The following is a 24,247-nucleotide window of genomic DNA, read 5'->3' as shown; positions in this document are numbered from 1 at the left end:
CCCTAAAGACAGAAGGCAGATAGGATTAGAATAAGGAAACCACCGTCAATAATATGCACAATAAAAACTAAAAACATCACCCTCTCCAAGCCCCCCGCCCCATCCTACAGAATAATTTTTTTTTTTTTTTTTGAGACGGGAGTCTCACTCTGTCGCGCAGGCTGGAGCGCAGTGGCGCGATCTCTGCTCACTGCAAGCTCCGCCTCCTGGGTTCACGCCATTCTCCTGCCTCAGCCTCTCGAGTAGCTGGGACTACAGGCGCCCGCCACTACGCCCGGCTAATTTTTGTATTTTCAGTAGAGACGGGGTTTCACCGTGTTAGCCAGGATGGTCTCGATCTCCTGACCTCGTGATCTGCCCGCCTCAGCCTCACAAAGTGCTGGGATTACAGGTGTGAGACACCGCGCCCGGCCTAATCCTACAGAATAATATCAAATAAAATATTGATACAAAAATCTTGAATAAAATATTACAATTAAGATGATTCAACCTTAGGATCTTTTAATAAATCATATTGATAAAAGTGATAAATTATGTGATAATCTCCATAAACCCTGAAAAGCTCTCTCATCACATTTAGCTTCCATTCTTCATTAAAAAATTCCTAATATAGGAATCATACCTTATAACCAACTACACTCCAGATAGTTCTATGTACTCCACCATGTTAATGAGATAAAGGATAAAAACTATCTGATTATTTCAATAGAAACAGGCCCAGGCATGTAGAATTATTTGATCTATGACAAAGTTGAAGTAGGGAAAGGGCCATTTCAATGAAAAAATGGTGCTGAGTCAGGTGGGTACCCATATGGAACCAAAAGAACTTTGATCTCACCTCATGCCATACACAACTCAATTCTCCTTTTTTTTTTTTTTTTTAGACAGAGTCTCTCTCTGTCACCCAGGCTGGAGTGCAGTAGCACGATCTCTGCTCACTGCAACCTCTGCCTCCCAAGTTCAAGCAATACTCCTGCCTCAGCCTCCCAAGTAGCTGGGATTACACATGCGCACCACCCAACCTGGCTAATTTTTTGTATTTTTAGTAGAGATGGGGTTTTGCCATGTTGGCCAGGCTAGTCTGGAACTCCTGATCTCAGGTGAGCTGCCCACCTTGACCTCTCAAAGTGCTGGGATTACAGGTGTGAGCCACCGTGCCTGGCCTTCAATTATATATAGATCATAGAAAATGAAAGGTAAAGCAATATAGTTTCTAGAAGATAACAGGAGAATATTTTCATGAACTTAGTTTAGGGTAGGCAAAGATTTCTTAAACAGAACATAAAAAAGCATTAACCCTAAATAAAAGATGGATACACTGGACTTTGTTAAAACAAAAAAATTTTTGTTCATCAAAAGACACCATTAAGAAAGTGATTTGGAAAGTCACACACTGGGAGAAGATGCTTTCAATACATGTACCTGACAGCTTATATTCAGAATACACAAGAACTTCTATAAATCAATACGACAAAAACAGTCCACAGTCTTGAACAGAATCTTCACAAAAGAGGAAATCCAAATATCAATAATCATTTTAAAAGGTGCCCACCTTAATTAATCATCAAGGAAATGCAATTTAAAATCATAAAGATAACATCGCTGTGGCCGGGCGCGGTGGCTCATGCCTGTAATCCCAGCACTTTGGGAGGCGGAGCAGGGGGATCACGAGGTCAGAAGATCGAGACCATCCTGGCTAACATGGTGAAACCCCGTCTCTACTAAAAATACAAAAAATATTAGCCGGGTGTGGTGGTGGGCGCCTGTAGTCCCAGCTGCTTGGGAGGCTGAGGCAGGAGAATGGTGTGAACCCGGGAGGCGGAGCTTGCAGTGAGCTGAGATCGTGCCACTGCACTCCAGCCTGGGTGACAGAGCAAGACTCCGTCTCAAAAAAAAAAACAAAAAAAAAACAAAAAAAGATATATCACTGCACGTCCACTAGAATGACTAAAACTAAAACACTAAAAATACCGAGTGTTGGCAGGGATGTGGAGCAATCTTCTACATTACTGGTGGGCCTGTGGATTGGTACAACCACATTGAAAAACCATTTGGCAGTATCTACACCAAAACTAAACATATGGCCATGTATGACCCTCAGTGTATTTAATCATGAGCTCCATAACAACATTTGTGCCAATGACAGACCACATATACCAAGCTGGTCCTATAAGATTATGATGGAGCTGAAAAATTCCTATCACCTAGCGATGATGTAGAGGAATGCATCCATGCATTTCTATGTATAGATGTGTTTGGGTACACAAATTACCATTGTGTTACACTGCCTGCAGTGTTCAATACAGTAACATGCTGTACAGGTCTGTAGCCTGGCAGCAATAGGCTATCCCATTTAGCCTAGGTAAGCAGTAGGCTATGCCGTGTAGGTTTGTGGAAGTACACTCTTAACGATGCATTTCTCAGAATGTATCCCCATCGTTAAGTGGTACATGATTGTACTTATTTATTTATTACTATTTTTTCAATTCTTTTGGTTATAGCCAACCTAGTGGGTGTAAAATGGTATTTCATTATCATTTTGATTTGCATTTCTCTGACTAAAGATATTGAGCATCCTTTCACATTCTTTTTGTTTTTTCAAATCTTTAAACCAATGTCTCCCAACCCTGTCTCCCCTTCCTCCCCAGCATTAGTCCTGGAGCAGAAAAATAGATTCCCAGAACAAATTGGAATTTAGAAAATGACAGCTGTGGCCCTTCAAATCAGTGGGGACAGTGGCGTGGGAGTGGCAGGGCTGGGGTGCACGGTGCACCTGGCTGGCTGGTGCTCTGTGCTCTGCTTCAGCCCAAGCTGCCTCCATGGGTCCCCCTCACTGCACCGCTGAGGTCTGGGTAGGTGTAGGTTTCCACTTAGCACCTGGCTGAGCTCTGGAATAAGTCGGTTGCTGGGGGCAGGAATTTCGGCCATGAGCAGCTAGGACAGGTTTGCCCACTGATTTAAAATATCACCTTTTGATGCTGACCTCAGCAGCATTCTGTCTTCATTTATAATAGGGGATACTTAGAAAGTCTGTTGATTACATTGACTTAAATCTTTTATTCATGATTTATGATCTTTTATCCCCCCCAGAAAGAGAGTGGAAGACATGAAGTCTGAGGGCATTTGGACTTGAAGCAGGGCTTGTTGATCTGCCTGTCTAGTGCCTGGCATGTGGTAAGTGCTGAGTAAAGGTTTGTAAAGGGCACAATTGATTGAATGAATAAATGAATGAATGAATGATCACCGTTTCTAATCCTTGAAGTATTCCAGTACCTTAAACGCTCTCCTGACTATGTTGAGTTTCTTTGGCATAAATACGGAGAACTTCTCATCCTTGTCAGTGGTGTTGGAAATCACATGGTGGGTGAAGGTGAGGGCATCCACAGCGATTCCTCGGGACCTCCCATAGTCTTGAAGCACAGCAGCAAGAAAGGCTTTGGAGAAGAACACACACCATCAAGTTCCTTGTGAGTCTCAGGGCCTCCTGCTGGGGTTAGCAACAATGATGTCTCATGGAGAAGAAAGGGAAGAGTGGAGGAAAAAGAGAGAACAAAAGAGATGGGCTGGGCGGGAGCAGAGGACCAGTTCACCCACCCTCTCAGGCCTTGGTGACTTTGGTCTGGCCAGCTGCAGGAGCCTCCTGGTGAATGTGGGTTGTTTTTCAAGGCCAGCACCCCTCCTGTATTCGTTGTGGGGATAGAGGGGCTGTCAATTCTGAGACCCTCTCCATTTCTGAGCCAATCTTGGCCGATGATCATGCCTCATCCTCTCGGCAACAAAGATGGGACCCAGGGGCAAGTACAAGACCAAGTGTGTCAGAGTCTTCCTCAAGAAATGACATATGGACACTGAGAAAAGGAAGGCTCTGTTGCCTCTAGGGTTGCTGAGGTGCTTGTGGCCATGTTTCCCCCTGGGTGCATGGAGAAAGGCTATGTGCAGTAGGAAAAAAATGAGAACATCTCGAACTCACCATGCCTGTCATTATGATCCCCATCAGCCTGCTCCTCTCCCTGTGCTCCGTATTTCAGTGAATGACGCCAGCAGCCACCCAGCTTTCCAAGCCAGAGACCCAGGAGTCATGCTTAACCTCCTTCTCCCCCCACCCCTGTCCTTCCAAACACGGAGTCCAGTTGCTTCTGCTTCCTAAATGCCCCCTACTCCCTGCTTCTGCCCACTACCACTGCTCTACTCTGATCACCAGCAGCTCTTGCCTGGAGAATAAAGCAGACTCCTTATTTTATTTATTTATTGATAAGACAGGGTCTTGCTCTGTTGCCCAGGCTGGAGTACAGTGGCATGATCATGGCTCACTGCAGCCTCGACCTCCTGGGCTCAAGCAATCCTCCTGCCTCAGCCTCCTGAGTAGCTGGGACTACAGGTGTGCACCACCACACCTGGCTAATTTGCAGACTCCTTATATGACCAGGACCCAGTCTTGTTCTTCTCCAATGTACCCCTGCCCTTCTTCCTTCCTATAGCTGCTGGATCATGACCTCTCTGGCCTGGAACACTTCAGTGGTTTCTGCTGCCACAGGATGGAGTCAGCTCCCTCAGTGTGTCTTACACAGCCCTGGGGGCCAGCCGTGCCCAACTTTGCAGCGGCATCATTCTCCCTTTTGGGGTCTTTTGTTTTGGCCATAATGAACATTTGGTTTCTCCTAGTGTGAAAGGTGTTTTCTCTAGTAAGAATGCTGTCCCCGCTTAGTCCAGTCATTGAAACACTCAACTTTTTAAGTCAGGCTGAGTTCAAATCTTGACTCAGTCACCTATTAGTTTCCCCCCACCCCCAGAATCATTCCACTTAGTAGTGAAGTGACCTTGGATGAGACTCTCAACTTTTTGCTAGTGATATGACTTGGGGCAAATTTCTTAACTTCTCTGTGCTAAGGTTTTCTCTCTGCAAACAGGGATAGTTACAGGAACAACCTCATAAGATTGTCATGAGACTTAAATGACTTAATTTATATAAAATCCTCAGAACACTGCATGGCACCCAGTAAGTACCATGTAAGCTCCACGAATTATTCTCTTCTTCCCCTGTCCGCACCTGGATAATACTTAATTGGTAGCAAGCTTCAAGACATCCTAGATGTTATTTCCTTAGCGGGCTTGCCTGGTTCTTAGTGAAGGTCCCCCTGTTTTATGCTCCACAAGTACTGATCCATTCATATATTCTATTCAGAATGCCATTCATTCATTCTTCAAATATTTATTGAGAGCTTTTTGTGTGTGTGTGCTGGGGCCTGTATCAGGTGCTAGGGACACCACAGAAGTTAAAACAGACCTGGTTCTTGCCTTCATAGAGCTCACAGCCCAGCGTCACCCCTTTACAACTCTCTTTCCACCCCACGACCACGCATCGTTGGAATGCACTCCGGTTCATGTCTGCCTTCGCTGCTGGACGTTTATGTTGAGCAGGTAAGGCCTAGGTTCCAGCATTCAGTCATCAAGTCTTGTTACAGAAATAAATGAATGAATGGCTGAAGCTCAGAGTCAATCTTGTGAAGTTGCCCGTCTCCACCCCTTTGTCACGGCCTTTGGAGGAGCTGGGTGCTAATGTTGACCTTTGACATCATAGAAGCAATGGCAGAGAGATGATACAGTGACCTGCCAAGGCGCAGGTGAAATCTGATAGGGGTGGGTGGATTTGGCATGTGAGGAGGTTGGGGTGAGGGAAGGAAGTGGGTTGGGAGGGAGAAGAGACTGCTCTGGTGCACACTAGAGACCCAGGCACCTGTGGAGGCGCAGGTGTTGTCATCCTAAAGGGGAGGAGGAAAGGGTGAGTGACAGAAGGACTGAGTGCAAACTTGCCTGGGCCAGGTCTGGAGCTGACCTTGGTTCTAATGCTCACCTTGTGGAAAGAAGAAAGCTGGGAGCCAGTATCTTGAAGGAAACCCTTCAAAGAAATTGTTCTCTGAATCCTCAGGGTGTTTGCATTTTTGGCTAGTTGATGGAATAGACTGCTTCCAAACTGTGACAAATCTCATATACCTAGTGGAAGGCAGACCACAGGTTGGGGGTTAAGGGCATAATAATTGCACACCTTTGGGTGATGTGGGCCATTTCCTCCCAGGGCCCTTCTTTTACTTTTCATTTCGATTCCCCCAATGCAGGACTCTTATCAGGCCCTTGAATGGAAGCCAGCTATGGTTTTAAGCTCATGAGGGAAAAGGGGACCACAAAGGCTGGAAGGTAACAGATTTGGGTAACAACAGATGTCATTATTATAGTGGGAATCCTGCCTGCGCCTCGCAGAATCTTGTCCGTTGTTTTTGAGGCACAGACTTCTCCCAAAGGATATAAAGAAATGTGGGTCAGATGTCTGCAGTGCTGTTGCTACACTTATAGTTAAATGGTATAGGAAGCAGCCTGGCACAGACTTTGGAACCAGTTCTGGGTTTGAATCTCAATACTTCCATATTCTAGTTGTGAAGCCTTGGGCACTTCATGTCCTTGGACTCAGTTTCCTCATCTCTAAAATGGGGATGATGATAATGATAGCACCTACTTCACATCACAGGGCTGCTGTGAGAACTGAGTGGGCTTCTGTGAGTAAAGCTCCTAGAGAAATGCTCCACATCCTGTGAGGCACTTGCTAGATGTTGCTACTCTAACGCTTCTCCAGCTATTTTTATTATAACTAAAAACACATTTAAAAATTACATGTGGCTGGGCGCGGTGGCTCATGCCTGTAATCCCTGCACTTTGGGAGGCCAAGGCAGATGGATCACTTGAGGTCAGGAGTTCAAAACCAGCCAATATGGTGAAACCCCTTCTCTACTAAAAATACAAACAATGAGCTGGGCATGGTGGCAGGTGCCCATAATCCCTGAGGCAGGAGAATTGCTTGAACCCAGAAGGTGGAGGTTGCAGTGAACAGAGATCGTGCCACTGCACTCCAGCCTGGGTGACAGAGGGAGACTCTTGGCTCAAAAAAAAAAAATTACATGTAACTAATTATTTCCTTTCACATTTCACCCTGTGCATTTCTTAGGAAAGAGAAATGTACTATGTTGTAGTCATAACTGTCTCTTGGAGTGGAGGGAGCTTACTCAGGACTCAGCATCTTAGGTCCCCACTTTCTCAGCTCAAACAGAAGATAAGAATCCCTCCCTTGCTTAATTCACACATTACTGTGAGAACCCAAGGAGACCAAGCATGGGAAATGATGTCATAAACCTTTGGGCTTTAAGCAAAAATGAGGAAGAAATGTAAAGCATCTTTTATCCATACCGACGCTGTATTGCAGTATAAGCCACTTTGGCCCAAGTATTGAAGAAATTCAGTCGCTGGATGAGATCATCAATCCAGGAACTCAGTGGCTTACAAGATCTGTAGGCGTGTTTCTGTTGGGATTTAAAGACAGTCACATCATTTTTTTTCTTTGTCTTTGGGGTCATTAGGAACATTTCTGCAAACCTTGGTAATAGACTCAATTGCCAGGGAGAAATAACTTGGCAGGAGGATGTCCTTTTCCAACTGAAAGCATATAATGAAAAGTCTAAACCTTATTACCAGGGCAAAACAACATTATCTTAACAGTGCTTTGGATAAAACGCTTGGAAGCTTCCATCCTGGCTGAAGGCTTTTATCACTCTTCTCAAATCTTTTCATTTCCTCACCTCCTTTCCTCCTCTCTGGGGAGATTACCTTCACATGCTATTAGGTGTGAGCAATTTCAGCTTCCTGACCTTCCCCTATACAAAGTTCTATAAATGCCACCCACTGTCTACTCCCTTACCTACCTTTGCCTTCCAGTTCTGAGCCCAGCTGCCCCTGCCCCTGCCCCTTGTGGATTCAGCTTTCCATTCTCCAGCCCTGTTTATTAACGCTCCCTTGCATCTTAACTGCACAAACCACCCAACACTCAATCCTACCTGTTTGTTGCAAGTGGGGAGGAGGAGACCCTTGCAGCCCTCTAGCCCCTTTCTCCTTTTGTTTACTGTCCCCTCTTCTGGAGTCTTCATTAGAAATCACAAGCGACCTTCTATTTTCCATACTCAAGCCTCACTCCCTGCACCTGTATCCTCTGCAGCTTTTGACGGCGCTCATTACTTCCTCCTGCTTTCTCCCCTAGGCTTCTGTGACTAGACTCCATCCTGGCTTTCTCTTGAATTCTCCAACTACTTGTTTTTAGGTCTCATTCATTGGCACCTCTTCTTCCCTCCCTTGAGGCTGGTGTTGCCTGGAATCCCTTCAGCCCTCTTCTCTTGCTACTTTATATTCCCTCTCCCAGATTTAATCCATGGCTCTGTCTAGGCTGATGACACCAAGCGCTCGCTTTGCAGCCCGTGCTCTTGTCCCATTGCTTTTCTTATTTATTTATTTATTTATTTATTATTATACTTTAAGTTCTAGGGTACATGTGCACAACGTGCAGGTTTGGTACATATGTATACATGTGCCATGTTGGTGAGCTGCACCCGTTAACTCGTCATTTACATTATGTATATCTCCTAATGCTATCCCTCCCCCTCCCCCCCACACATGACAGGCCCCAGTGTGTGATGTTCCCCACCATGTGTCCAAGTGTTCTCATTGTTCAGTTCCCACCTATGAGTGAGAATATGCGGTGTTTGGTTTTCTGTCCTTGCAATAGTTTGCTCAGAATGATGGTTTCCAGCTTCATCCATGTCCCTACAAAGGACATGAACTCATCCTTTTTTATGGCTGCATAGTATTCCATGATGTATATGTGCCACATTTTCTTAATCCAGTCTATCATTGATGGACATTTGGGTTGGTTCCAAGTCTTTGCTATTGTGAATAGTGCCGCAATAAACATACGTGTGCATGTGTCTTTATATTATAGCAGCATGCTTTATAATCCTTTGGATATATGCCCAGTAATGGGATGGCTGGGTCAAATGGTATTTCTAGTTCTAGATACCTGAGGAATTGCCACACTGTCTTCCACAATGATTGAACTAGTTTACAGTCCCACCAACAGTGTAAAAGCGTTCCTATTTCTCCACATCCTCTCCAGCACCTGTTGTTTCCTGACTTTTTAATGATTGCCATTCTAACTGGTGTGAGATGGTATCCCATTGTGGTTTTGATTTGCATTTCTCTGATGGCCAGTGATGATGAGCATTTTTTCATGTGTCTGTTGGCTGCATAAATGTCTTCTTTTGAGAAGTGTCTGTTCATATCCTTTGCCCACTTTTTAATAGGGTTATTTGATTTTTTTCTTGTAAATTTATTTACGTTCTTTGTAGATTCTGGATATTAGCCCTTTGTCAGATGGGTAGATTGCAAAAATTTTCTCCCATTCCGTAGGTTGCCTGTTCAATCTGATGGTAGTTTCTTTTGCTGTGCAGAAGCTCTTTAGTTTAATTAGATCCCATTTGTCAATTTTGGCTTTTGTTGCCATTGCTTTTGGTGTTTTAGTCATGAAGTCCTTGCCCATGCCTATGTCCTGAATAGTATTGCCTAGGTTTTCTTCTAGAGTTTTCATGGTTTTAGGTCTAACATTTAAGTCTTTAATCCATCTTGAATTAATTTTTATACCAGGTGTAAGGAAGGGATCCAGTTTCAGCTTTCTACATATGGCTAGCCAGTTTTCCCAGCACCATTTATTAAATAGGGAATCGTTTCCCCATTGCTTGTTTTTGTCCGGTTTCTCAAAGATCAGATGGTTGTAGATATGTGGCACTATTTCTGAGGGCTCTGTTCTGTTCCATTGGTCTATATCTCTGTTTTGGTACCAGTACCACGCTGTTTTGGTTACTGTAGCCTTGTAGCATAGTTTGAAGTCAGGTAGCGTGATGCCTCCAGCTTTGTTCTTTTGGCTTAGGATTGTCTTGGCAATGTGGGCTCTTTTTTGGTTCCATATGAACTTTAAAGTAGTTTTTTCCAATTCTGTGAAGAAAGTCATTGGTAGCTTGATGGGGATGGTATTGAATCTATAAATTACCTTGGGTAGTATGGCCATTTTCACAATATTGATTCTTCGTATCCATGAGCATGGAATGTTCCTGCATTTGTTTGTGTCCTCTTTTATGTTGTTGAGCAGTGGTTTGTAGTTCTCCTTGAAGAGGTCCTTCACATCCCTTGTAAGTTGGATTCCTAAGTATTTTATTCTTTTTGAAGCAATTGTGAATGGGAGTTCACTCATGATTTGGCTCTCTGTTTGTCTGTTATTGGTGTATAGGAATGCTTGTGATTTTTGCACATTGATTTGGTATCCTGAGACTTTGCTGAAGTTGCTTATCAGCTTAAGGAGATTTTGGGCTGAGACGATGGGGTTTTCTAGATATACAATCATGTCATCTGCAAACAGGGACAATTTGACTTCCTCTTTTCCTAATTGAATACCCTTTATTTCTTTCTCTTGCCTGACTGCGCTGGCCAAAACTTCCAAAACTATGTTGAATAGGAGTGGTGAGAGAGGGCATCCCTGTCTTGTGCCAGTTTTCAAAGGGAATGCTTCCAGTTTTTGCCCATTCAGTATGATATTGGCTGTGGGTTTGTCATAAATAGCTCTTATTATTTTGAGATACATCCTATCAATACCTAGTTTATTGAGAGTTTTTAGCATGAAGGGTTGTTGAATTTTGTCGAAGGCCTTTTCTGCATCTATTGAGATAATCATGTTGTTTTTGTCTTTGGTTCTGTTTACATGATGGATTACGTTTATTGATTTGTGTATGTTGAACCACCCCTGCATCCCATGGAGGAAGCCAACTTGATCATAGTGGATAAGCTTTTTGATGTGCTACTGGATTCGGTTTGCCAGTATTTTATTGAGGATTTTTGCATCTATGTTCATTGGGGATATTGGTCTAAAATTCTCTTTTTTTGTTGTGTCTCTGCCAGGCTTTGGTATCAGGATGATGTTGGCCTCATAAAATGAATTAGGGAGGATTCCCTCTTTTTCTATTGATTGGAATAGTTTCAGAAGGAATGGTACCAGCTCCTCTTTGTACCTCTGGTAGAATTTGGCTGTGAATCTGTCTGGTCCTGGACTTTTTTTGGTTGGTAGGCTATTAATTATTGCCTCAATTTCAGAACCTGTTATTTGTCTATTCAGGGATTTAACTTCTTCCTGGTTTAGTCTTGGGAGGGTGTACCTGTCCAGGAATTTATCCATTTCTTCTAGATTTTTTAGTTTATTTGCGTAGAGGTGTTTATGGTATTCTCTGATGGTAGTTTGTATTTCTGTGGGATCGGTGGTGATATCCCCTTTATCATTTTTTATTGCATCTATTTGATTCTTCTCTCTTTTCTTTTTTATTAGTCTTGATAGCAGTCTATCAATTTTGTTGATCTTTTCAGAAAACCAGCTTCTGGATTCATTGATTTTTTGAAGGTTTTTTTGTGTCTCTATCTCTTTCAGTTCTGCTCTGTTCTTAGTGTCCCACACAATAATAATGGGAGACTTTAACACCCCACTGTCAACATTAGACAGATCAACAAGTCAGAAAGTTAACAAGGATATCCAGGACTTGAACTCAGCTCTGCACCAAGCGGACCTAATAGACATCTACAGAACTCTCCACCCCAAATCAGCAGAATATACATTCTTCTCAGCACCACATCGCACTTATTCCAAAATTGACAACATAGTTGGAAGTAAAGCACTCCTCAGCAAATGTAAAAGAACAGAAATTGTAACAAACTGTTTCTTAGACCACAGTGCAATCAAACTAGAGCTCATGATTAAGAAACTCACTAAAACCGCTCAACTACATGGAAACTGAACATCCTGCTCCTGAATGACTACTGGGTACATGACGAAATGAAGGCCGAAATAAAGATGTTCTTTGAAACCAATGAAAACAAAGACACAACATACCAGAATCTCTGGGACAAATTTAAAGCAATGTGTAGGGGAAATTTATAGCACTAAATGCCCACAAGAGAAAGCAGGAAAGATCTAAAATTGACACTGTAATATTACAATTAAAAGAACTAGAGAAGCAAGAGCAGACACATTCAAAAGCTAGCAGAAGGCAAGAAATAACTAAGATCAGTCCCATTGCCTTTCAGTAGCTCCACCTGAGAGCCCCTCTAGCTTCTCACACTTTCCATGTCCAAAACAGGATGTCTTCATCTGTTTCTCACACAGCACGTCTTTCTGCTCACCTCGTCTCTGAATGTGCTAGTTCCTACCCATTTGTCCAAGCCGGACATTTCTACCTGACTCATCTCACCTCTTGTCACTCTGTCAAGTGAGCAATGGTCTCAGCCACATGTGACTGTACTTACAGTGTACCAACTCATCATTGTTCTTTCAGCCTAACTTTGCACGTGTGGAGTCCTAGCTGTTTCACCACGGGGCTTGCTAAGAATGTAATAAGGCCTCTCTGCTTTTTAGTTTCCATATCTGTAAAATAAGGTCATTGGAGTGGGGGTTCCCTAAGATCCTTTCGAGCTCTGAAGTCCTGTGATTCGGATGTGTCTCCACATCTCAATTTTTCATCACAGCTTGTATTCAATTTTAAGGAATTATAATTGTTATTATTTCCTCTCGTCTGTCTTCATGTTTTCTACCTAGGTTTTAAAAATAACTTCATTGAGATATAACTCATATGCCATACAACTTACTTATTTAAAGTGTACAAATGAATGGTTTTTCGTATAATCACTGAGTTGTGCAACTACCACTGTAGTCAATTGTAGAACGTTTTCATGAGTCCAAAAGAAAACCCTCTCAGCATCCATTCTCCAGTTCTCTGTCACCCACAAACTGAGGCAACCAATAATCTATTTTCTGTCACTATTCTGGACATTTCTTGTAAATGGAATCATACAATATATGGTCTTTTGTGATGGCCTTCCTACACTTAGCACAGAAGAACTACTGTTTTCAAGGTTTATCCATGTGATAGCCTGTATCAGTACTTCATTCATTTTGCTGGCTGAATAATATTTCATTACAGGGACATACCATATTTTATCCATTCATCAGTCAATGGACATTTGAGTTGTTTTCACCTTTTGGGTATTACAAATAATGCTGCCATGAACATTCATGTGCAAGTTTTTGGGTGGACTTTTTTTTTTTTTGAGACAGAGTGTCCCTCTGTTGCCCAGGCTGGAGTGCAATGGCATGATCTCAGTTCACTGCAACCTCTGCCTTCTGGGTTCAAGCAATTCTCCTCCCTTAGCCTCACAAGTAGCTGGGATTTCAGGTACCCACCACCATGCCTGGCCATTTTATTATTATTATTATTTTTAGTAGAGACGGGGTTTCACCATGTTTGCCAGGCTGGTCTCAAACTCCTAACCTCAGGTGATCCGCCACCTTGGCCTCCAAAAGTGCTGAGATTACAAGCATGAGGCCCTGTGCCCGGCCTGGATTTATGCTTTAATTTCTGTTGGATATATTCCTAGGAGTGAAATTGCTGGGTCAAATGGTAAATCTGTTTAACTTTTTGAGGAACTACTGGACTATTTCCAAAGTAGCTGCACCATTTTTCATTCCCATGAGTGGTGCATTTGGGTTCCAATTTCTCCCAATGCTTGTTTTTATGTATTTTTAATTCTTTCCATCTTAGTAGGTGTGAAGTTGTATCTCATTGTGGTTTTGATTTGCATTTCCCTCAAAGCAAATGCTGTTGAACATCTTTTCACATGTCTACACAGGTTTTCAATCTGGTATAGGATTCAGGGTTCTGGAAAAGGCCAGTGCTAATCCTAAGGGGAGAAGTTCATTTCTGGAGAAATAGTGTTTGTGTCCAACATCAAGCTTGTTAATTTCCTACTCTGTGCTGCCAGATCTTCCATGGCTTATTTTATTCCTGGTCTAATACATTTTGTGTTTTTACAATTTGGTCTTCTGTTTAAGACCATGACCCAGTAATTTCTTCATCATCTTGTTTAGCTTTGTTTTTATTTTAAAAGCAATTAAACTCAACACTTATAGTAATACCAAGAGTGCACCTACTTTGACATGAACTGCCATGATACATAGTTCACATACACAGATAGTGAGAACTAAGTGATGGTGCTGCCTGGCTAACAGTGACTGTTAAGAGGCATTCCAACTTCAGAGATGTGAAAATATGAAAAAGTACGTCAGCATCTTTTAAGAGTTACATATTTCATCACACAGATGCACCATTTACCTTCACCATTCCCTTGAACTTGGACATTTATTTCAAGCAAGCAAGAAAATAGGAAATAATAATAATTGCTTACCTGCCACAATGTAGGCACTCTCATATTAAGAAAAGAGTTAAATATTTCCTCCAATTCTTGGGTGAGGATGATCTCTCCTTTTATAGCAAGCTGAAGATCTTTTAAGGATTTATGTATGACAAATAATAACTTATCAAATCGTTTAATTTCTTGCTTCAAAAAGGTTAGCAAGACACAATGGATAAGGGGGTCGTGATCTGGATTTTAAAAAGAAATAAAATTTTGATATTTTACAGATTAAAAAGAGGCTTTACATGGAGGGACTTAGGCTTTGAAAGTTAAGGGAATTTTGTGTGTCTTGACCAGGGGTTGATAAACATTTTCTGTAGAAGGTCAGATAGCAAACATTTTAGGGTATGGGGACCACACCACCTCTGTGAAAGCTACTCAGCTCTCCCCTTGTAGTGTGGGTGCGGCCACACTATCTACTATGTGTGGATGCATAGACAATATGTCATGAGTAAGTGTGGCTGTGTTCCAGTAAAGCTTTACTTATGGCACTCAAATTGGAGTTTCATATAACATTTATGTGTCACAAACTATATTCCTTCTTTTGATTTTTTTTAACCATTAAAAAATGCAAAAGCCATTTTAGTTCACAGGCTGTACAAAAACAAATGGTGGGCTGGATTTGGCCTGCGAGCCCTAATTTGCTGACCTTTGATTGAGACTCAACAATGACACTGTTTTGATAAACTATTGCTCAATATTTGGTTCCCAAATAAACTTCTGCAAAGGGATAAAATATGGGTATTAAAATTTAACTGGGAAAATTATCATAGTCTAGCAATTTAGCCACTTAGAGCTGGGTTTGGAGTCATCTCTGGGCAATCAGGCTTCCTCTGTCTTCCTGGGCCTGCCCTGATTCCCCTTAGCTTCTTGGAGTCAAGTGGTCTTTCAGCAGAAGGTCCATCTAAACTTCCGCTGTTCCAGAAGGCAGAGAGGCAGAGAGAACAGGCACCTAGAACTCTTGACAATCTCCAAAGCAGAGTTGCTGCTTTCTAGTTTGCTACACTTGTTATTTCTTCACTTTTGATTTCAGTGCCACACGCTACCCACCCCCAAACTAAAGCGTGATTTTCTTCTGTGCTCTCTGTCTTTCAACTTGGAGAGAGGAGGCAGAGACTGAGTTTTCCATCTTATCTCAGTATTTTCACTTCTACAGAATTTTTGTCTTATCTTTACCTTACTCCTGACACCAGAGTCCTTTCTTGAGGAGAGTGAGGTAAGGGGAAAAAGCTCCTGTCCCATGCTCACCTTTGAGATTTTTAGAAAGAGACTCCCAAATGGAGCTTGACATCATGCTCTTCAATGTGCTTGGAGTTCCAACAGCAATTTCTTCTTTCTCCACTGTCAGTGGCAGCCGCTTTAGCAAGTCGGATAGAATTTCCATCACCAGTTCATCCTTACTCTGCTCAGGTCTGCAAAAAAAACCAAGAGAAGAATGAGACACAGAACAGGAAGTGGGGAGATGGGGAGAGATTTGTTAAAGGATTCAAGATTACTGGTAGACAGGAGGAATATGTTTAGTGTTCTATACCACTGTAGGATGAGTATAGGTAACAAAAATAGATTATACATCTTCAAATAGCTAGAAGAGAGGATACTGAAAGTTCCCAACACAAAGGATAAATGTTTGAGATGATGGACATATGAATTGCCCTGATCTGATCACTATACATTGTATGTATTGAAACATTACTATGTACCTCAGAAATATGTACAATTATTATGTCAATTAAAAAAATAAAAATTGGCTGGGCACAGTGGCTCATGCCTGTAATCCCTGCAATTTGGGAGGCCGAGGCAGACAGATCACTTGAGGTCAGGAGTTTGAGACCAGCCTGGCCAACATGGTAAAACCCTGTCTCTACTAAAAATACAAAAGTTAGCCAGGCATGGTGGGCGCCTGTAGTCTGAGCTACTCAGGAGGCTGAGGCACGAGAATCACTTGAACCCGGGAGGCAGAGGTTGCAGTGAGCCAAGATTATGCCACTGCACTCCAGCCTGGGTGACAGAGCGAGACTCTATCTCAAAAAAAAAATTTAAAAAAAGAAAAGGAAAGGAAAATAAAATAAAAGAAATCAAGAGAAAAACAAGCTACAGATCTATCTAATGTTAGAGGGTCCTCTGCTTAAGTTCCGTCTGAAGATAAATGTATCTTCACAGAACCACAAAATTATGCTATGGATGATCTTACAGAGACCATGGAATTCATTTCATTTTGTAGATGAGAAACTGTCCAATGTACTTTAGACATTTGCAAGGAAATATGTATTATAAAAGCTTTTTTAGGATTTCTTTGTAAAATAATCATCTGCATGCATCTGCAAGACAATGAAAAAGAGGAGGCAACTAAACAGAGCACGCTGAAGCAGCCGCATGGAACATTCCACTGCTTGCCTCATTCCTGTGTTGACACGAAGGGCTTCTTAATCACACACTCCGCGGGTGGTGACAGGAGGAGCGCGTGTCCAGGCCTAGGTGAGGCTGCGATACTATGCAAAACCACTAAACACTAGAGCTGGAAGAGCTCTTTGGAATCCTTTTAAAGATGATGAAACCAGGGCCCCGGGAGGTGGGAGGACCTCCTTAGACAGTTAGTGGATGAGTAGGAAATGGGGCACATCTCTTTTGAGTTCTGCTGCTCTATTTACTAGCCGGGACTGATTTTTCTTTTTCTTTTCTTTTTTTTTTTTTGGGACGGAGTTTTGCACTGTCACCCCAGCTGGAGTGCAGTGTTGCTATCTTGGCTCACTGCAACCTCCCCCTCCCGGGTTCAAGCAATTCTCTGCCTCAGCCTCCCGAGTAGCTGGGATTACAGGTGCTCACCACCATGCTGGCTAATTTTTTGTATTTTTAGTAGAGACGGGGTTTCACCATCTTGGCCAGGCTGATCTTGAACTCCTGACCTCGTGACCCACCCGCCTCGGCCTCCCAAAGTGCTGGCATCACAGGCGTGAGCCCACCGCGCCCGGCCAGGACTGATTTTTCAACAAACACTCCAGGTTTCACAGTCAAATGAATATTATCCTTCAAGGTAAGCAATAACCTTAAAGCTGCCAAGAAGTATTTAGTCCAACAGTGCTGCTTCCAAACCAGTTTACAGATCGCCTGAGGTCACATGGCTCCTTACTTTGTCATCACACTGTTTTGACTGTAAAGTTGATTTTCTCCTTAGAATTCAACCCAGGTAGCTTCAAATAATTCAAAAGGTCAAAAGGTGTCAAAAATCAAGCTTACCTTCAGAGGGCAAAGATTTGCTACCACTAAGGAAATTACATTGAATATGATAGATGTTTGGATTAAGTCCCACAGACAAGTCTCTAATAAGCAAAGGCAGCAAGACTGGGATAATTATAGCCTCTCAAAGTGACCAAAGGGACATTAATAAGCATATCTAGTATGTTTATTAAAAGCATTTCCTTATAATATGTTGGTATCTTAAATATTTGTAATGTTTAAGAGAATTGGGCCTCGTAATACCTTGTGTTAGATTGGGGTCAGTCTTGTGACCCCAATTAAAAGAGATAATTGAGAAACTGATTTATGATTTTAGGTTGAAATCTTGTTAGATTGATATAAAATATTAGGGAACAAGAAAATTTAAGATTCACCATATTTATTTGATTATTAGATTTATAAAAGTTACTCAAAGATTTGAGAAGGTCTGGAAGACAAATTGAAGTACATTAACTTTATAATGAATATTAATATATTTGAAAATGTTTAAGCTTATAAATGGGGTCAAACATTCAAATATCTTTTAAAAGTGTTAAAATTTGTTAGACGTACAAATTGAAAAATTAGAACTTAAATACATAAGGAACTCATTGAAGTAGAATTTAGTTTCTTTACCATGTAGACTATACTTTTCTATATATCTCTTCAAATGAATTTTTTTTTTAGACAGGGTCTCAGCCTCGCAAGTTACTGGGACTACAGGTGCTCACCACTACACTCAGCTAATTTTTGTATTATTTGTAGAGACAGGGTTTCACCATGTTGCTCAGAGTGGTCTCGAACTCCTGAGCTCAAGCAATCTGTCCACCTCAGCCTCCCAAGGTGCTGGGATTACAGGCATGAGCTGCCAGACCCAGCCTGATAATTTTTGACCAACAATTTTTCCTAGCGAGTTCTTACCTGATCATGAGGTTGGCAGTGGTAGTTTTTGGTTGCATGGCAATCAGATTTTCAATAAACTTTTCGCCCTGGGTCTCCCAGCAGCTCCTGATGGCCTCTGGGTGTATTCCTAAGACCTCGGGAAGGTCATCATCAGGTAAGGACTGGATAATGTGTATGTAGTCCTTTATGCTTGCAGATCCTGGAACTGGCAGACATATCTGAAAATTTAACATTTTGTTAGCTTTTTTCTTCAATCCTGCTACTTCTGAACACTTTGTTGGTTTTTGCCAGAGTAAGATACCTACTTTCAGTAATGCTTGAAGACAATATTTTCCCATGAAATTTTATACCGAAGGCTTTCTTATTTGCATGTGGTATATTATAGACACTGTCAAAAGCAACATTTGGGACTACTGTATTGTAATGTGCATATGATATGCATGTATAACTTTCTTTTTGGGAAAAGAGAGAAAGAAAAAAAAAACGCTTTAAAGGTGAGGGTGATTCTGACCACCCATAGATAATGAATGCAATAAGGCTTGAACAAATCATTTTACTTTAGTGAAACCTATAGAAGGAATGTGAGAATGATCTTAAGAATAATTGACCACTGACCAAGAAGAGAAATGCATTGTTCATATGGTCAGGAAAGTGGGTGATGGTGGCTTTCTTGATATCATTAAGGAAAATGTTGAAGAATTAATGAAGGTCAGAGGGAAAAATCAAATAACAGTCACTGATTAAAAAAATTACCTGCAGAAGAAGCAAGATTATAACAAAAAACAGGAAGAGCTGGCAAGCTGGAACTGTCATAAAATTCCTAGTGTTTTAAAGCAACTGAACAATTGAAATACAAATTTCAGAATACCCTTCTGTCATCTGATATAATTCTGCCAATGCAATTGTATGCTGTATGTTACAGTATACCTTATTCTCTTAGTGCATACTTAATGTAATACTCTGTACAAAACCATGCACATTGTATTCTTTGGGCAATTTAAAATACCCTAAACTTTTTTTTCTTTTTTGAGATGGAGTCTTGCTCTGTCGCCCAGGCTGGAGTGCACTGGCATGATCTCGGTTCACTTCAACCTCTGCTTCCCGGGTTCAAGTGATTCTCATGCCTCAGCCTCCCATGTAGCTAGGACTACAGGCATGATCCACCATGGCTGGCTAATTTTTGTATTCTTAGTACAGATAAGGTCTCATCATGTTGGCCAGGCTGGTCTCGAACTCCTGACTTCAAGTGATCTACTCTCCTCGGCCTCCCAAAGTGCTAGGATTATAGGCATGAGCCACCACATTTGGCCAAAGAATCCTAAATTTAACTAAAATGTTATTTTAAACAGTTTTTTTTCCTTCTTTTTCAGATAGGATCTTGCTCTGATGCCCAGGATGGAATGCAGTGGTGTGATCTCGGCTCACTGAAATCTCCACCTCCTGGGTTCGGGTGATTCTCGGGCCTCAGCCTCTTGAGTAGCTGGGACTACAAGTGCACACCATCATGCCTGGCTAATTTTTGTATTTTTAGTAGAGATGAGGGTTTCATCATGTTGGCCAGGCTGCTCTCCAACTCTTGGCTTCAAGTGGTCCACCTGCCTCGGTTTCCCAAAGTGCTGGGATTACAGGCATGAGCCACCGCACCCGGCCTTAAGACACTTGTTGTTGTTGTTGTTTTTTGATGGAAATCTTAAAAAAAAAAAAGCCCTCATAGCTTTTTCTGCCTTAGCAAATAGTGCATAAAGGATATAATTTAATGCCTTCTTATTGACTCAGGGTCATCAACATAGACCATTGCTATCCATTCTATAGATGCCTTACAAATGAATCTCCCTAAAATATTTTTACTATTTTGTTTATCTATCCATATCCTCAAGACCTCAGACAGACAACCTGGATATGACCTCTCTTTCTCTTGATGATACCAGGCCCACTCCCAGCTCACAATGATCACCCACAGCTGTCGTCTTCCTTTTCATCTTCCATTCACCTCTCTTATCCAAATTCCCACCCATCAAAGTTTATGTCAAGTCCAACCCTCTACAGTCTAAGGTCAGAGGTCTGTAGGATTCTTTCCTCTGCTAGCAGCCACTCAACAGGCACACACAGCTGCTGGTGTCTAATATGGAGTTTTCTGCTCCACAAATGTGAAGGCTTGGATAGAGGATAGAAACTGAGGGGGAGAAGAGGGGATAAACAAGAGATGTGGGATTTCTGGAAACATAACAGCATCTATTCCCCATGGTTATTTTGAGCATTAAATGAGAAACATATATCAAGTGACTGGCATGGAATCGTTGATTTATAAATGTTAGCTTCCTTGTGCTTTGCATCTTACACTCTACGTTCTCGGAGGACATGAACGATTTTTAAATCATTCTTTTTGTTTACTGCCCTGCATAATGTTGTGTTTAATAGAGTCATGGGTAAATTACTTCCATACTACTGAAAGCTACTAAAAGCCTTTAAAAATGAACATCAAAATTTATTTAAATATGTATTTTAAATAAAGCAACAATGTTTACTTTAAAATTATCGAGAAATGCAAGAAGATTGATTCTTTTCCTACCCCATCACTGGAGAAACTGAAGTCATCTTTCAGCACTTCAGGATTACAAAATTTGTAGAGTAGGGTCTTCAAGCATCGCTTGTCCCAATTATCAATCACCCGGCCACCGTAAATCACTTCTCCAATCAGGTAGCGCAGTGCTTGCCACGAAATGCTGGGCTGTCCTCTCAGGGAATTTTCCAACACCTTAATGGCAACCTTTGGAAAACCCATGAGTCTTTATTATTTCAGTATGTGTTTCCAGCTTACTCACTCTGACTTTTTAACATAAAATCAACTCTCAAACAGCTACATATATTTTCTCTTTAAAAAATATATAGAAATAGGCCAGGTGCAGTGGCTCACGCCTGTAATCCCAGCACTTTGGGAGGCCAAGGCAGGCGGATCATTTGAGGTCAGGAGTTCGAGACCAGCCTGACCAACATGGTGAAACCCTATCTCTACTAAAAATACAAAAATTAGCCGGGCATGGTGGCATGTGCCTGTAATCTCAGCTACTGGGAGGCTGAGGCAGGAGAATAACTTGAACCCAGGGTGCGGGGATCACAGTGAGCTGAGATCAGGCCGCTGTACTCCAGCCTGGGCGACAGAGTGAGACTCTATCTCAAAAAAAAATATATATATATATATATATATAGACAAATATATATATTATATATATTTCATTTGTCTTACTAGAATAGTTTATATTTACTAGAATAGTATATATATATATATATATATATATATATATATATATAGTAAGACACAAATATTGGGACATACACCTTTTTTTTTGAGACAGGGTCTCACTCTGTTGCCCAGGCTGGAGTGCAGTGGTGTGATCTTGGCTAACTACATCCTTGACCTCTCCAGCTAAGGCGATTCTCCCACCTCAGCTTTTTTCCTCAGCCTCCCTGTCTGGCTAATTTTTGTATTTTTTTGTAGAGATGGGCTTTCCTCATGTTGCCCAGGCTGGTCTGGAACTCCTGCGCTCAAGCGATCCGCCTGCCTTGGCCTCCCAAAGTGCTGAGATTACAGGCATGAGGCACCGTGCCTGCCCTGGGACATACACTTTTATCCACTAGTTCTTTTTTGTTGTTGTTGAACAGGCATTGAGCTGTTTAATTGCTGTTGTTTGAATAGGCAAAGCAGGCACGTGGTACTGAATTCAAAAAGCGCAAAAACAAACAAGAGAAAGTAAGTTTTCTTCCACTCCCGACTTTAGCCGTCAGATCCTCTCCCTTGAGGCCACCATTGACAGAATTCTTGTGTATCCTTACACAGACATTCTATTTGCACATAGGTTGACTTCTTTTCTTCTCTCTCCTTCCTTCGCTTCTCCTCTCCCTTCTTTCTATCCTCCCTGTGCTCTTCAACTATTTATCACCTCCGCCTCCCTCTTCCTATCCCCCTCCCTCCCTCCCTTCCTCCCTTCCTTTCTTGACGGAGTCTTGCTCTGTCGCCCAGCTGGAGTGCAGTGGCGCGACCTCGGCTCACTGCAACCTCCACCTCCCGGGTTCAAGCGATTCTCCTGCCTCAGCCTCCCGCGTAGCTGGGACTACAGGCGCGCACCACCACGCTCGGACAGGGTTTCACTGTGTTAACCAGCATGGTCTCGATCTCCTGACCTCGTGATCTGGCGGCCTCGGCCTCCCAAAGTGCTGGGATTACCCACCGCGCCCGGCCCTCCTCTCCCCCTTTCTTTCTGTTTTCCTGTCTTTTTTTTTTTTTCCACAAATGCTAGTTTAGCATACACACTGTGCCGCAATTGGACAATACATCGGCTATCAATGTTCAGTGGCTGTAAGAATTCATATTTACACTAACAGTGTGTGAAGGAATTTTTTTGTTACTATTCTCTCATCCCTGCCACTAACAGGAAATGTTGGTTTATTTAATTTTTGCCAGTCTCATGGGCGGTACATTTGCTGTTAGTTTAATTTGTATTTCACCTACTAGTACTGGTTATTTTGAGCATCTTTTCTTATGTCCGTTGGTCATTTAAGTACAATCCTCTATACACCGCCTGTTTTTCCTTTGGCTTGTTGGTCTTTTTCTTGTTAATAGATAAGAGCTCTTTGTATGTCACAGATATTAACTCTCTGTCAGTCATTTGCATTATCCTAAATCTGGCATTTGTCCATTGACTTTATTTTGCCACCATTTACCATATAAAAGTTTTTTGTAATCAAATATGCCTATCTTTTCTTTTATGGTTCTGGGTTTTCAATTCGGGTTACTTGTTCCCAACTCCAAGATTGTACATGTAATCTCCTAGATTTATTTTGGTTATTTGTATTGTTATACATTTAAATTTTATTCCATTCGGGAATTTATTTTTATATAGGATATAAGATAAAGGAACTAGTACTTTTCTTCCAGCTGGATGGCCAGTTGTGCCAGTATCATTTACTTTTTGAAAATCCCTTTTTCCTCAGTTGAAATATTACCTGTGTCAAATATTAAAATCTCATAAAAACTTAGATTTTTGCACCCTCAACTATGTCCCACCGATTTATTGTCTACTTCTCTGCCAAACAATATTGATTTTAGTATAGTGGATTTTTACCATGTTTTGATATCTGGTGAAGGAGGACCCTTTCAGGATTTTTCTTTTTTGTACATTCCTAGCTTATTCTTCAGCATCTGTTCTTCCATATGAATTTTATTAATTCTGAAACTTCTCTAATAGGATTTTAATTGGAACTGCATTATATCTGATTATTAATTTTGGAAGAATTGATAGTTATGATATGGGAAGCCTTCCCATAAAGAACATGGATGCATTTATTTAGGGGAGGCAGGATTAAAAAAACGAACTGTGGAATCGGACCTCCACTTATTACCTATGTAACCTGGGCAAGTTTCTTAGGTGTACTGTGCCTCTATTTCCCTATCTGTAAAATGAGGATAATTAGTGTCCTTACCTCATAATGTTGTTGTGGGAATTAAATAATTTAGATAAAGCAATCCAAATATTTTAAGCTCTCAACAAATGTTATGACTCTTTTCTCCCTAATTTATGCTATTCTTTATTTAGGACCCATATGTTTCTTGTTAAATTTGTTCCTGAGTATTTAAATTTTTTCATCACTGCTGTGAAAGTACGGTTTTGCCTACTTCCATTCCCGGGTGTTTACTACCAGGGAGGCTTTATTGCTCTTTACATCTTTACATTTTTATCCAGTTACTTTACAAAATTCTCTAATTACTAGATTTTGTTTTACTAGTATCTCAGGTTTTCTAGACGTACAATTATATAATCAACAAAAAGTTTTTTCTCTTTTTACAATGTTAATATGAATTATTATAATTTTATCTCATTGAATTTACTAGAAATTCTAAGACACTGTTGAATGACAGTGGTGATAATGGGCATCCTTATCTAATTCTTGATTTTATTTGAAACAATTTCAGTGTTTGACT

At 41.4% G+C, this 24,247-nt stretch overlaps 1 protein-coding gene and 1 long non-coding RNA gene across 26 annotated transcripts in view; one reads left to right on the top strand and one right to left on the bottom strand.

The window, feature by feature from the left end:
* Window positions 1-24,247, bottom strand: part of DNAH14 (dynein axonemal heavy chain 14) — a 469,633-nt gene that overhangs the window by 3,562 nt on the left and 441,824 nt on the right. For 24 of the 25 annotated variants that reach the window (XM_011544062.3, XM_011544067.3, XM_017000296.2 and 21 more), the window contains 7 exons: window positions 20,840-21,037; window positions 18,289-18,488; window positions 15,403-15,566; window positions 14,146-14,342; window positions 7,234-7,346; window positions 5,852-5,991; window positions 3,274-3,434 (listed from right to left, as the gene is read on the bottom strand). In XM_011544062.3, coding sequence (XP_011542364.1) covers window positions 3,274-3,434; window positions 5,852-5,991; window positions 7,234-7,346; window positions 14,146-14,342; window positions 15,403-15,566; window positions 18,289-18,488; window positions 20,840-21,037 — 1,173 coding nt within the window. Of the gene's footprint in view, window positions 1-3,244; window positions 3,435-5,851; window positions 5,992-7,233; window positions 7,347-14,145; window positions 14,343-15,402; window positions 15,567-18,288; window positions 18,489-20,839; window positions 21,038-24,247 lie in introns of all 25 variants that reach the window. The other variant, XM_047445624.1, reaches the window with a different exon arrangement.
* LOC124904525 (uncharacterized) lies at window positions 1,881-5,485 on the top strand. Its single transcript, XR_007066900.1, has 2 exons — window positions 1,881-3,174; window positions 5,304-5,485. It is a non-coding gene; the product is annotated as an uncharacterized LOC124904525 (long non-coding RNA).

This window comes from Homo sapiens, chromosome 1 (genome assembly GCF_000001405.40).
Source record: "Homo sapiens chromosome 1, GRCh38.p14 Primary Assembly".
Classification (NCBI taxonomy): domain Eukaryota; kingdom Metazoa; phylum Chordata; class Mammalia; order Primates; family Hominidae; genus Homo; species Homo sapiens.
Note: the sequence above shows the minus strand (reverse complement) of the source record. Positions and strands in the feature narration are given on the sequence as shown.